Source organism: Homo sapiens, chromosome 13 (genome assembly GCF_000001405.40).
Source record: "Homo sapiens chromosome 13, GRCh38.p14 Primary Assembly".
Classification (NCBI taxonomy): domain Eukaryota; kingdom Metazoa; phylum Chordata; class Mammalia; order Primates; family Hominidae; genus Homo; species Homo sapiens.
Genome location: NC_000013.11, coordinates 84646668 through 84662232, shown reverse-complemented (window position 1 = coordinate 84662232; position 15565 = coordinate 84646668). Strand labels below are relative to the sequence as shown.

Sequence of the window (15565 nt, the reverse complement as noted above, 5' to 3'; positions counted from 1 at the left end):
TTTTTTTTTCTTTAACATGGAGAGAAAATTCAAAATAAATTCTGGTAATACGTATGACAATGGGAGGAATCATGGTAAGATAGGGCAGTATTTTCTCAAAATTTAAATGAAATTCAAATGCACAAGCAAGACTCGGCAAGAAATCTGACGTTATCATAAGAAGGATTGTGAGAATCTGAAGGATTTATAGCCTGATGGGTACTGAATTTTACCTATGAAATTGTGATTATTTTGAGCATGGAAGAAATAGATCCCAAAGTAAGAAACTGACCTGCTGTGGGATCTTGTCTGCTACATCTATGAGTCATTTCAGGATGCCTGTGTTTTTTCGTAATTTTCCTACTCATCTCCTAACAGACATTGCTCCAAAAAAACGGCCCTATCTCTATTACATACTCATCCCCTCTCCATTTCGTATGGGTATATCCATTTCTGTAATACAAACAAAACAATACAAAATGGAACAAATGTCTCTATTTACAATACCCACTCCCAAACAGTTTTTCTCTTTCTTTTCTCATTCAAAATTACTGAAAATTTATCATACATTTTTCTGAGTCCAGTTCTCTGTGTCTCATTCACTAATGACATTTTAAAATTTAACAATCTAGTTTCTTTCTCCATGCCTGAAATAAAAATATTCCTTGCAAGAAAATTAAAAGCCTGCTGGTACTAAATTTAATGAAAAGTATTTCATGACTGTATCACTCTACATTCCAGTCAACACTGCTGAGCTTTTGTTCCTTGTAAGGTTTTACTCCATTTGTTTGCCTGATTATCTTGGTGACTCTTTGACTATTTCTTCATATTTGCTTTTCTACTTCTATTTTGTTTGCACTTGAAACTCATAATCTCTATTTCTTGCTCTCACCTCTCCTGCAGCTTCACATGTGTACATTCATCTGTATTCTGAACATCTTCCTTTGGACATCCCATGGATAGCTAAGAATTACCATCTGCCAACATGAACCAATCTTCTCCTTCAATTTTTCTCCTCAGTCTGTTTTTCTTCTAATCCTGCTATCATTAATTGGAGAGCCATAATTCGTTTTTGACCATGTCTTTATTCTTATAATCACACGTAATGAATCAATTCAATAAACATCTAATGTTCTTACTGTATAGAAATTAATAACCAGAAGGACTGTGATATAATAAAGTTAATTATCAACTCAGATAAATTAATATATTAGTATAAAACTAAGCCTAGCACTTAGAAACTGTATGATAGTAGACAAATTCCTAAGCATCTCCAAGTCACATTTTATTCTTTTATGTTGGGAAATAAAAATAATTCATACCTCATAGATTAGATTCAATAACTCTATACATGAAAATATTTGAGTATGTTCCCTGGCTCAAAAATATGTTTTCTTAATTATAATTTTGTCATTTTTATATGAAATATCATTAGTTCTACCTTAGACTATTATAAAATTCTCCTAACTAGTTTCTCTGGCTAAAATCTGTTCCCTTCGAAAAAACAATTCTCAGGCAATTAAAATATTTCTAACATTTACTTTTGTCTATAACTTGCTACAAAGTAAAGTACTTCATTTATTATTATCACTTACATCTCATAGACAAATAATCTTATTATTAAATACTAAGTAATCTGGCTTCTCCTTTCATGCCCAGAGTCTTCTCTTGCCCTGCCTAAATTGTAACTATAATTACATTTCTATTTGCCTAAGGCAATTTACATGATTGCAATAACATCTAACATGTGCCAGGTTCTCTAATTATTTTACATGAATTAACTCCATAGTATTATCTTAATTTTCATATTAGCATCTATGAGTGAAGAAGTAACTAACTTGGTCAAGGTCACACAGCTAACAACGGGCAGGCCTGTAATCTGAACCCAGGAATAGTGGCCCCTGGACCTGACTTTCTAATTGTCCTACTCCATGTCCTCTCAACCATACCTTGGCTTTTAAATCAAACTCTTCTGACTCGCTGTTTATGCCAAATGAAATAACTCTTTGAAAAAAATCAAGTAAATTGAAGAATTATATATTTAATTTGGAGATTTATATCTAGCTTTTGCACAGTTTATAGACTGTAGGTTTCAGTGTAAAAGACTGAGAAACAGCAGCCTCAAAGGAAGAGATTTCAGTATTTTACCCAATAGATAAAGTGGTCTAAAAAAGTGTCAGGCACAGTAAAGGCATTAAAAATATGTGTTAAATAAACTAATACATGAGTGAAGAATGCATCATCAAATGATTGAAAATAGAACTCATCTAACAGTAAGGAGAGTTTCTTTTTTTTTTTTCTTGAGACAGAGTCTCGCTCTATCGCCAGGCTGGAGTGCAGTGGTGCGATCTCAGCTTACTGCAACCTCCACCTCCCGGGTTCAAGCGATTCTCCTGCCTCAGCCTCCTGAGTAGCTGGGATTACAGGCATGCAACATCACGCACAGCTAATTTTTGAATTTTTAGTAGAGATGGGTTTTCACCATGTTGGTCACACTGGTCTCAAACTCCTGACCTCATGATCCACCTGCCTTGGCCTCCCAAAGTGCTGGGATTACAGGTGGGAGCCACCACACCCAGCCAGGAAAGTTTCTTAACTTCAAATTTATCATGGAGGAATTTAAATTTTTATGGACTTACATTTTTCTTATTTTATGCATGATATTCTTGGATAATTAGAGCCTGAGCTGGTTTCTTCATTTACTTTCCCTTACCACACAATGAGTCAGCAATTTGCATTAGTAGTTTCCATTCTAGGAATGGAAAGAGAAATAAAGACCTTTTTTATGCTAACCATAGTCCTCTAAATTAAATACAAGCATGTTTCAAAAGAATGAAAATATTAAACAAATAAATGTCACTTTTCTCAAATGAATTTTAGTTTCCAACCTCATTCTTGGCTCTTCATACACTAAATGGAGAAACAGTTTTGTGTTGGATGATTCAGTGCCAGAAGGAGCTGCTAACAAAGCCTCTAATATGTTTGGGATCAAAAATCAAATAGCAAGCTTCTGGAACATGAAGGTGGGAGAAGACCTTATCCCTTAAAATGATCTCGGGATTTTAGAATTGTGCTTTTATTATATTCTTGCTGGGTTTTCTAGATATAAGGGACAAAGTATTTTAGTAAAAAGAAAACTGGACTTGGAAGACAAATTGATTTTGGTTTGAATCACTTTCACTCTATGACCTTGGCAATAAAAATACATGCTTGGGTGATGTAATGTTTAAGGTTCCTTCTAGCTCCAATGTTCTATAAATTAAATAATATTCTAGTTTTTAAGCAGCAGAAATCATTAGATAGCTTAAATGTATGACTGATTTTTGTGTCTGTGTATATGCATATGCATAAATTTAGAAGACAAGTGGATTAGTGTTCGACTACGGTTTTTTTCTTTATTCTGCAATTGACTTTTACTGCCAAAATAAACAAAAAAGAGTTAATGTATTCTACTGAATTTCAAGTAAGATATTGATTTTTCCAAACTTCTAAATAACACTTTTATTCAGTGTAAACAATAGCCAATATTGCTAATATATTTTACAGACTATTTTGATGTTATCATTTGTATTCATTTGTAAACCAAATAAACTGTCCCATGTCACATGAGACAGTTATTATATCAATATGACTCACATCAAACTATGTCTTTGATGCTATTTAGCAGGATATTAGAAAAATAATTTCACAAATAAGTTGAGTTTGTTCAAAGAATGAGACAGCAAGACAGAATTTCCTATCTAGGAAAAATAAGACACCTGATTTTTAACCTTGTTTATTTTTACAGAATTGGGGGCAAAAGAGCAAAAATGAACCTAATATTTAATATTATAAAGAAAAATGTAAGAAACTTTTGGACATGGATTTAGAATCATTAAACATTTAATCAACAATGGCAAATCTGTAGGCAAGATTAGTCAGCATTAATGTTAACACCAGCAATGGGAAACCCATGCAATGCGTTCAGCTTTGCTATTATCCTGTGCTCAATGTTAGTATTCATCAATATAAATTTATAACATTTCTCAAAAGATGTGCCAAAGCTTAGTTCTCTTTTAGACATCCCTAAGATTTGGGGGCATTTAGCGAACGGTGGTGTCAGCAATAACTGATAATGCCTGCATCGTTTTTCCTTCTCAGCTCCTAAATGACCTAAATATTAAGTATCAATGTTTGAAATATTAATTTGTCAGACATTTGTAATGTATCTCAACTGATTTGTTGTTGTTTGTAAACACTCTTCCTGAAATTCTTCACATTGCAAAATAGTAATTTTCTAAAACGAAAGCATATAAATAAGCAAATTGTCAAACAAATCCAAATGAAATAAGAACTCATCAAAACTAACAAGCACAAAAATAAATTAAATGCTCCCACTATGAAAAATAAACCACAGTCACTTATATTTAATTTATCTGGTTTCTAAGTTTAAGTTGCAGAATAATTAGTCCAAACTTTTACTTCCATGTATATAACAATATATAGATACAAAAATATATATGGATATATGTATATATATTTGGAAATATGTATATGAGAGAGATAGGGAGAGAAATATGTCAGATGTTAGATAATTTTCTATTAAATGTACTTTTCTCAAAGACAAGTTCTTGTGAAAAGTTTAACAAAGTCCTAAAATGTTCCACAATGTAGAAACAGATAGGCAGAATATCGGAACTTGGAAACATTATTATTCATTATAAAAGTGCAGCAACCTCTTTTAGAATATTTCTTTTTAAGCCTCTTTGCCAGAGTAACCCTGATGGCAGAGGACAGGATTTTATGCTATCAAGATTAAAATATTTTTCCTACATCAACATTCTGCTGACCATAGCAGTGTGTTTGGGTTTCCATTAATGCTGCAACTTTTCGTCATGTGATCACAATTTTAAACTCACTTAATGTGTGCATGTGTGTGTGGTTCTAAACATAGCTATTAAATTTATTTTATTCCCTGAGATTCTACTTACCTCCCAAGCTCTATCAAATATCTAGCCTCAACCAATTTAGACATTTTAGCATTGCTGTTTCCATTTTGGAATAAATCTCAATGGATAAAAAGACTCATGTATTCTGCAAAACAAGGCAACTAAAGGCGTAATTGTTTTCATGGCCAAAATCTGAGTCATCAATTAAGAAGGAGCTTTAAATACTTTTCTTTAAAAAAGATGAATTATAAAAAACTAGAAAATGTGCTTTTGTTCAAGCATTATTAAAACCAGTCCATTGCAGGAAATACAATTGTTATTGAAGGAATAAGTCTATGATAGACTACTAAGAGAATATTAGGGGAAAAAGTGGAAGATTCTTTCTAAGTTTTCCTTGTACACTTTAAAAGGCTAATTCAGAAATATATGAAATCTAAATAAAACGCATATATATCCTGACCTGGGTTCTCTAAACGTTAATATGTTTATTGTTTAAATTATTCTAAAGAAAATAGAAAATCACAAGCACGTCTGTGTATTTTATCTCTCTTTTGAATTCTTGACTTATTAATGTATCTGATTATCTGGAGGGTATCTTCTTAAAGATAGCTTAAAAATCTCAAAAATCAATATAATTCAAACCAAATGTATCATTTTCCCCTGGTCTCTTTAATTTTGAAAAATGCTACCCTCCCCATCTTTCCAGATAAACTTACGAAGATTTTATAAATCAATGAAGACTCTTATAACTAAGAAAAAATAACCATCAAATATTTTCATTTCCATAAAATCATTCTCATGTTCCATTCCCAATCTTATTAGTAAGCCACAATATAGAACATTATTATCTCTTCCTGATAGTTAAGCCTTGAGCTAGTTCACTCTGTCTAAATATTTTCCATCTCACCCTCAAATTTATCTCTGAAAAATGCAAAAAATATATTATTCTCTGCCCCAAGACCATAGATATAAGACTAGTCAAAACAGATTTAGTTCAAACTACTTAGCATAAATACAAAATACTTCACATTCTATATAGCTTCAACTTCTATAGCACTGAAATAGCTTATTCATCTGTCAAGAAACAGATGGAATGCTTTTTGTGATTTCTATGGTTGACAGAAGAGCCCTCTAAATAGGTCCAGGCCCTAATCTCTCCTACCTGAGAATATGCTATGTCACACGGCAAAAATGACTTTGCAAATATAAATAAGGTGACAGACATTCAAGTTGTCAAATTATTTTGGATTACCCAGGCGAGTCCAATATATTTACATGACCCCTTAAAAGCCAATCACTTCTCCATCTAAAGGTAGAGAGATATTGCACAAGGATTACTCGGAGAAATTCAAAGTGTGACAATGACTCAATTAGTCATTGCTGGAGGAATTCACATGGAAACCCTAAGAAAGGTTGAGTGTAGCTTCTAGGAGAAAAAAACTGGCCCCCAACCAACAGCCACAAAGGAAACAGTGATGTGAGTCCTATGACTACAGAAAACTGAATTTTGCCCGCAATCTAAATAAGTTTGGAAACAGATGTTTCCTCAGACCCTCCAGTAGGAAATGCAGACCTTTCAGTACCTTAGTTTTAACCTTGTAAGACCTGGAGCACAGAAACCAGCTAACCCCACCTAAACTTCTGACCTACAAAACTGTAAGTTAAAATATTGGCGTTCTTACAGGCTGCCAAGTTTATGGAAATTTGTTACATTAGCAATGAAAACCTAATACAAAGTTTTCCTTAGAAATAAACATCATCCCTTAGAAATAAGCATTATCTTTTAGAAATAAACATTCCATCTTACACAATATATGTATATGTTTTATTCTTTCATTGCACAATATATGTGTATGTTTTATTACAATTATTTGTATTCCTTCTTACACAATATATGTATATGTTTTATGACAGTTATTTGTATGTATATTCTTTACTCTTAGGACCTATAAATAACTTGTGACAGATTTTCTTTAAGCTTGTTAGTATTCCAGTCTATCTAAACTCACCAACATGGGATATATGGCAGGTTTTTTTCCAAAGAAAACCACAATAACATCTCCCATCCCGTATGTGCTTCTACAAAGTGATTTGCAGCTTCCCTATGAAGAAGTGAAGTTGAATTTTTCACAAACTTAAAACCAGGTGGGCTTTGTAGGCTGGTTTTGAATAACAACAAAGGCAGAAATGACCCCATGCTAGTTCTGAGTATTGTTCTTAATGGACCTCTCAGCTTCCACTTCCTGCCTCTTGGGAGCCAGCCACCGTGAAAAATTTAACTACTCTAAGACCACTAAGTTGTGAGAAACCCTAGTTGCACGGAAAGGCCCAGAAGTTAAGAAACCATCAAACCTTTGTGTTGGGTGAATGGGGAGAGACAGGGGGTAGGGGAGGGAGAGAGAGATAAAGGGAGGGAGAGAGAATAAAGAACATTGATTCACCACATACGTGAATAAGGGAGCCACAAGGGAACAACATCTTCCAGTCACTGCTGACTCTGCTGACAGACACCAAAGAATCACAGACAAACTGCTCAGCCTAGCCCTTTCCAAATCCTTTACCCTCGAATTATGAGCAAATCAAAATGGTCAGTCAGTTTGGGAGCAATTTGTTACACAGCCATAGATAACTGAAACAGACTCATTTGAAAAGGACTCTAGCCATTAATAAAAAAAAATTAACCACCAATTCTCTGCCTCTGGTGGCAGAACAGATACATTCTTGGTCTTGCAATTATATGTTGAAGAGTGTTAAACAAAAAACAAAACATAAACTTTAGACAAATTAAATTTAGCGGGGTTTATTTGAGCAAAGTACAATTCATGAATCAGGCAGAACTCAGACCCAGAAAAGGTTTATGGAACTTCACCCAGCTGTGTGAACAGCTGGCTTTTATGGATCAGACACAGAGGCAAAGTACAGAGGTCACCTGGTTGTCCACAGCTGGGTGTCTGCATTATTTGGGCATGGTCTGATGAGTTGGCTGGCCTGTGATTAGATGAACCTTGGCTGTTTGTTATACTTCTAATTTAGGTTTCAGATTGTTATTGTAGGAACTCAAAGTATAAAGAGTCTCAAGCTAATGTTGTCTTGATTACTGATTTATCAGGAGTCTTGTCTTCTGGCCAAAACACTTTTGTGTGATATTTTAGGCCTGATCATAGGCCTGGCAAACCTCATGGGGTAAAGCTACCTTCTCTACACCAGGCTCAGTGCCCAGCCAGTGCACTTCAGTCTGTGATGGGAGTTTCAGTCAAGTACTCAGCCTTCGTGGCTGGTCATGCTCTTAGGCATATCTGCATTACTAACTGTATTAGTTCGTTTTCACACTGCTATAAAGACATGCCTGAGACTGGCTAATTTATAGAGACTGGATAATTTATAAAGAAAAGAGGTTTCATTGACTCATAGTTTCACATGGCTGGGTAGGCCTCAGGGAACTTACAACCATGGTGGAAGGGGAAGAAGCACGTCTTCCATGGTGGCAGGTGAGAGAGAGAGCCCAAAGGGGGAAGAGCCCCACACTTATTAAGCAACAAAATCTCATGAGAACTTACTCACTATCATGAGAACAGCATGGGAGAAACCACCGCCATGATCCAATCACCTCCCTCCCTCCACACGTGGGGATTACAATTCCAGATGAGATTTGGGTGAGGACACGGAGCCAAAAGATATCACTAACCAGTCACCTTCATTCTGAGATCTCTTTCCCTGGGACCTTTGACTGAGGCTTTCCTCAGGCACCTCTGCTGAGACTTCCTAATAAGAGCAGGAAGGGAAAAAGTTGAAACTTTTGTTTACTCTTAGTATCCAGTAAGTAGTTTTCCACTCCCTGTCCTTCCCGCACAATTTCCTATGACTCCAGGGTCCATAAAACTGAAAGAACCTCTTACTGGGGTTCTCTGACCAGTGAGACAATCCCCTAGTCTCTGTCTGTGTAGATTTCTCTCATCCTCAGTCGGTGCAACATTCCATGTGGGAAAATGAAATAGGTGGAGTTGGAGCTTTCTCCAGTTTAGCCTCTTGCTTGTAACATCATAGTAACTGATTAAAGCCTTGACCATTGCTTTCATTGTAGTTTGTTTCTTAAATTGACGGCTGACAGCTGAGTTCTTTCTCCCCAAGTCAGCTGAGCCTGTGATATGTTAATGGTAACTACAGCTGCTTATATTAGGGTATTCTATGTTATGCTACTATGATTTATATTGAAATGTCAATCCCCAAATCTCAGCAGTCAAAACAACAAAAGCTTACTTCTCACCCAGGTTACAATTCCTTCATCGAGTGTCAGTAATGACTGCTCAACATAGTTCCTGAGGGATCCATGAAGACAGAATAGCCATCGTTCTAGCTTTGGTGTTACTATGTGAGGGGCAAAGAATGTTCTAGAAGGTCTTGCATTGTCACTTTAATATTGTGGCCTAGAAATGGCACTGATCTATTTTGCTCACCCTCCATGTTTTAATTGCAGGTCTCCATCAACTGTAAAGGGGCCAGGGAATATAATCATATCACGTTTCTGGAGTGTGGGAATCAGAAATATTTGGCAGTCAATTCTTAATACTATGCCTCTGAAAATGGCTTTCATGTTTATACACAGTCTTTTCCCTTAGAACTTGTATGACCTGCTTCTGTACACTCCACAGATTATTTAGTGTGAGGTTCCATGGGTTCTTGTGAGTCATCTTCTGATTAAAGGTGAAGTTTAATACATCATTCCCTAGTCTGAATCCTCATGGGTCTCCCTAACCCTTGTTCCCATTCAGCAAAAGCATCTCCTTCTGCTCAATGGATCCGCTTTCCATAGGTCTATCAGACAAGAAATTTTAACTTACACGGAATCTAATTGATTTACTTTCCATACCAACTCACAAAAAGGGGAGAGGGTCATTTGGAGACTTAAGTTCATTTTGCCTAAAAAATGAATTTTCCTATTTGCCAGGCATGATTTAATCATCAGCAGAATGAATAATACATATCAGTATATCCATTACAGATCTTAGTTTTTAAAAGGAAATGCAGACTTTAGATAATTCAGTCAAAGGCAACTGGAGTAAGTAGATGGAGAAAACTTTTTGAAAATGGGCTGTAAACATGTTAGCACTATATGATTTGCAAGAAGGATTCATGATAATGCTTTTGAGACAGAAAGCTCGGTTGAGGTTTATTTTCTAGAATGTGTAAACTTAAAAACACAGTCACACACGTAATCTATAAGTTTAGAAAAGGAGAAGGATACTTTATTTCTTATAAAGGGTAACAGCCTGCAAAGTGGCCATCTGCAGGCTGGGAAATAGAGCCTCTGTCTGGCCAAAGTCCAGAGACGGGCACCTCAAATGAGAAGGGAGTGCGGTAGGAGAATTATGTTGAACAGGCTGGTCAAACATACATATTCAACCGGTTACAGGAACAGCTATGAATATTCATGAAGGTGGTTCTGACACATGCATATTGAACAAACATGCATGTGACATAGAATTCATGTTCACCTTGGGGTGGGGACATAATATTTAAATGTACTATGATTAGGCCCTTGTGTTAGTTTTGCCTTGCTGTAAAGGAATAACTGAGGCTGGGGAATTTACAAAGAAAAGAGGTTTATTTGGCTTATGTTTCCACAGCCTGTACAAGCATGGCACCAACATCTGCTTGCTTTTTTTGAGGCCTCAGGAAGCTTACAATCGTGGTGAAAGGCAGATGGGGAGCCAACATGTCACATAGCAAGAGGGAGCGAGAGAGAGGAGGAGGTGCCAGGCTCTTGAAAACAACCAGATCTTGCACGCACTCATAGAGGGAGAACTTACTCATTAACCTGACGAAGGCACCAAGTCATTCATGAGGAATCCACTCCCATGATCCAAACACCTCCCACTGGGCTCATTTCCAACACTGGGGATCACATTTCAACAAGAGATTTGGAGGGGAAAAATATCCCCATATGTATTCAAAGGTCTTTTCAGGACATGAAGTTACACAAGTGTGTAATCTCCATAAACTGGCCAGGAGCAGTCCGTGGTTGGTGGTCTTCTTACTAGGAGAAAGTTACTGAATTTAGTCACTTGTCCAATTAAAGCTGTAGTTATGGCTAGTAGATCAAGGGTTCAGGTAGTCAGCTTCTGTGAGCTGGATGAGTTGTGATTATTTTAATATTGTTTATCTTGAAGACAGTACTTGTTTAGTTGCTAGAGAGAAAGAAAAACCTTGTGGCCATTAGAACATAGTTTATTTTTTGTAGTTTAAGTCTAGGGATGTGTAACTGAACTCTTGCCTGGCATGGCCTTAAGTCTTGTTTAAAATTTGATATCTTATTGCCACAAAGAGCCTATTCTGTCAGTCTTACGATCTCTATTTTATCATTAATGCTGGTCAGATGTTGTACTGAAACCATAAAAGAGAGGGGATTATAACAAGGTATGTCTGACCTCCTGCCTTGTCATGGCTGGGAACTAAGTTTCTAAGTCATTTCTGGGATTCCCCTGGCTGAGGGGGCAACCATGCAGTCAGTGGGGATGGGGGGTTTAAGATTTTATTTTTAGTTGACAGAAGCATTAACTCAAAGCCATTTCCTTTCTTTTGTTCTTGGTTATGCTGCAAAAGTTTAAGATTTGTACCCATTCCACAATGTATCCATATATCAAAAATCAATTTGTATACCATATATATGTATATATATATATATGTGTGTGTGTGTGTGTGTGTGTGTGTATATACATATATATATGGTGTACAAAATGGAATATATATATATATATATATATTTCAATTAAAAATCTCCAGCTAGGTCATCTGAATCCCTATGTATTAATTATGGTCTGGGAGCAGATGAAAGGGTTGGAAAAATTAATGTAACAGAGGGATACTCTAGGGACACCCTTAAGATTCTACCCTGTGAGAACAGGCACCTAGATTTACAACTCTATCAAGTTTACAGAAATTGAAAAGCAGTGATTCTCTGGGAAAAAAAACAACAAAACCTAGAATTAGAAACGGGCACCGAAAAACAACAAATATCAACTACTCCTAGGGAATACAATTTGCTCAAGGCAAACTTTTACTGACAAGCACAAAGTTTCCCCTAATTCATTTATTGAAAATGCTGCATTCTAAGACAAAACATATTTAGCATGACCTTCATTTTTTTCTTTTCTCAATGTGGTAAGAACAAAGTGATATGCTACAGAAAATTCTCCATACCCTTGAAGGGAGCAACTGCCATGCTCATTTTGGTATGTCCCCTGTGACTCGCTCACTGACTAAATGCCTGAGCCAAAGTCACTTCCTATGATAACAGTAGGTTATTGGCAAATCTCCACAGAAATATCATCACGGTGAGGCTGATACTAAATTAGGACAAAGCTATTTGGCTTGATCGAAGCTGAAGCTATTTTTCTGTCATATAATAGATATTATATCAGTACCCTTCAAGAAATTGCCCCGAAAGCATCAACTATATTATTATTTCAGAAACTTGGTCAGATAATGGGAACTATTTAAAAATAAAAAGTGAAGTGTATTCTTTTGTTTGGATATAAAGTAAATCCCATGTTATTTTCTAAAACAAAAAATTGATTGATTATGAAAAATGCCTTCTTGCATTGGACATAGTCCATAAATACGCATAATTGGAGAGCTCTAAAATCCTAAAATCTAAGTGGTGATTTCAGATGCGGTGATCGGTCAGGATTAAAGGAACACAAGAGTTCCTGAGACCTATGACATCTTCTGAAACCTGCATCTTTCTCCACATCATAACTTGAATAATTTTAAAGGAAATATACTAATTACTGAAAGATTCTGTCGCTTAAAGGAGAATCAGTCTTGACTTTCCCATGTAATTCATGTAAAATTTTTTCTTGTTTAGTTCATTCTTTTTGATCTATAGCAAAAAAAGTTGATTTGTTTCTCCCTAAACAAATATTAGAATGAAACAACAGGAGGTCGTCTAGACCAGAGCAAATGGGCTTAACTACTGACTTAATATAGTCAACTATATCTGAAGTTCATTGAAAACAATCACCTTTATTATTTTTTTCCCAAATGCTTTAGTAATTTGCCAAAAATCATATAAAAAGTAAATAATGAAATTAGATGTAGAATGCAGATCTTGTGAACCCAAATCTAGACCTCTGAATCAATAAATTTTGCAAAACATTGGTACAAACACTTTGTAAAAACATTTATGTTACAAATTTTTAGAATGAGTGTTATTTAACCCTTATATGCAAAGAATACAATTAATTAGAAAAATTAGATTTTGAAACATAGAAGTTGATATTACCTGACTAAATCTCAGCTGCCCTCATATTGGAATGAGCTTTGTCATATAGACATAAATGGATTAATATGTGTTATAACATCCGGAAGAAATGCAGATCAACAGTAAGATTGTCTTTTCCTCCTTGCCTTTTCCTGTTCTCTCTTCCTTGATCTTTCTTTTGTTTTCATGCCCCTCTTTCTTCCTTTTCATCCTGTTGTCATCCCTTTTTAAATTTTCCTTGCTTCCCTTTTCGTAAATTATTATATTTAATTTATAAAATTTAATGTATATTTTAAGCCTAGGGAAAACCATTTAATCATTCAAACATGAGCTTTGAGCACTTTTCAAAGCTGGCAAATTCTATAAAAATGGGAGTTCGGTTTTTAATACTCTTGTTGTTACTATTTTATATTTACATTTTGAAACATTTATTCTTTACTTATTATCTAATTTAATCCATCAACCAGCATTTGTTGGGTAGCTAGTAAACACCAAGAAGATCCTAAATATGGTCAGTTACTGTGAATGAACTTTGAGTACTTTAATGCAAACATCAAGGCGTCTTAATTGATTCCTAATCTACATGCAAACAATTTCATTGTTACTAAGTTTAGACATGTTGCGTAAGTTTTAAATCTTTTTGAATTTGGACAAGTCTTTTCAAGTTGATGATATAAATAAAATTCACTAAATCATCATGTTAACTGTATACTAAATGCATGATGATCATTCTGTCATTTTTCCATGTTAACAAAAAAACTACATTGAAGTTTTCATTATTTAAACATTAATACTTCTTGAATTTGAAATTAAGTGTATTTAATTCATCACTAGATGGCACTCTAAATTTAGACTGTAATATATGTTTCTTCAAATAGAAGCTAAATATGTTTTATAAGGAAGAATTCATTTTATAAACAAAATATTTGCCCCCCTGTTCAAACACAAACTGGAGAATTCCCTTTCTATCTGTCAACAGTAACAAAGAAAACCTACAACATGTAATAAAAAGTAGAAAAGCAATACAATAGAGTATACAGACTGGATTATAAAGAGAATATGGTGGTCATCTGAAAATATTTCTCATATATGTTTGAATCTATTTTTAATTTATAATTTTGAGACTTAATTTTTCCATATACAATAATACAGGAAGTGTTAAAGTGTTTTTGTTGATTTACCCACCGTTTTAAAAACTGACTTGCTTCTTAAAAGTTAGTCAGCTTTCAGTATCCACAGGATCCATCTGCAGGCTCAACCTACTGCAGATCAAAAATATTAGCAAAATTTTTTTAAAAAAAACTACAACTAAAATATACAAATAAAAATATAGTATAACAACTTACAAAGCATTTACATTGTATTAGATATTATAAGTAACCTAGAAATGATTTAAAGATGTCCATAGATTATGTGCAAACACTATTCTATTTTATGTAAGGGACTTGAGCATGCTCAGATTTGGTCCTAGAACCAATCCCTGGCAGATATAGAAGGATAACTGTATTTTTATTTGTAACAAATATATAAGTATGATGGATACAATAAAAATGAATGTACTTCTGCTAAAACATAACTTTTGTGTCAGATATAATTGTATGTAGACTGCCTCAAATACAAGATAATAACTTGTGTAATTCCTTTTCTCCTAAATGTTAGAAGCTGTACAAATTTTTCATTTTTCTAGAGAAGATTTTTTAGCTTCCTAAGAAGACTAAGCACTTTCTTGTGTTACTTTCATTTGTAAGTGATGACATCCCCCATAAAATCATAGTAATGAACCTTTGGAAACATAATTCTGACCATTTGAAAAGTATCAGGCCAATGATACTATGACCCCAGTATAATTGAAACCATCAACTGTTCTCTGTTCAGGGACCACAGCCTGGGTGGTTAGCATAAGGGCTGCTGAGGTGGCTCGGCCTCATATTCAGACTGTCAATTAGACTGCATTAAGGAACACTTCTAGCAGGGTTAATGCCACTGCAAGTGTAAAGCAGGCATTTAAAAATAGCCGACATTTAAAAATATTCTGTATTAGAAGTCCAAATTTTCCATGGATGAAAGTCAATATATTTTGCCCTTATTCTATGCTAAGGTCGTGACTCCAATTATTATGTAAAAATGGGTTTCTCTGAATATTTTTGACTTTGCTGATGACTACATTTTTTTTTTTCTTATCCTGACTGCACAGTAAAGATTGACTCTCTAATTCTCTGGGTCAGATACGTGTGGAAATGACTATTATATTCTTGTTTTCCACATCAGAGAATGAGATCTTTGAATAAAATTTCTCCTGGATAAATGAAAAAACAAGTAGAATAATATTGCATTTCTGCATAGTTTCTTTTTCACTGGGTAAGTCTCTTTGTAATGAAAATGAGGAGAGGACTCCATC

General features: G+C 34.8%; 3 annotated features.

Annotated features, from left to right (window-relative positions):
- Positions 5889-6656: an enhancer, noted in NCBI's record as "H3K27ac hESC enhancer chr13:85229712-85230479 (GRCh37/hg19 assembly coordinates)". NCBI's record gives its function as "activates a minimal SCP1, AML or CMV promoter by ChIP-STARR-seq in naive H9 embryonic stem cells {active_cell/tissue: H9 hESC(naive)}" and the evidence as "EXISTENCE:reporter gene assay evidence [ECO:0000049][PMID:30033119]".
- Positions 6657-7425: an enhancer, noted in NCBI's record as "OCT4-NANOG-H3K27ac hESC enhancer chr13:85228943-85229711 (GRCh37/hg19 assembly coordinates)". NCBI's record gives its function as "activates a minimal SCP1, AML or CMV promoter by ChIP-STARR-seq in naive and primed H9 embryonic stem cells {active_cell/tissue: H9 hESC(naive and primed)}" and the evidence as "EXISTENCE:reporter gene assay evidence [ECO:0000049][PMID:30033119]".
- Positions 7426-8193: an enhancer, noted in NCBI's record as "OCT4-NANOG-H3K27ac hESC enhancer chr13:85228175-85228942 (GRCh37/hg19 assembly coordinates)". NCBI's record gives its function as "activates a minimal SCP1, AML or CMV promoter by ChIP-STARR-seq in naive H9 embryonic stem cells {active_cell/tissue: H9 hESC(naive)}" and the evidence as "EXISTENCE:reporter gene assay evidence [ECO:0000049][PMID:30033119]".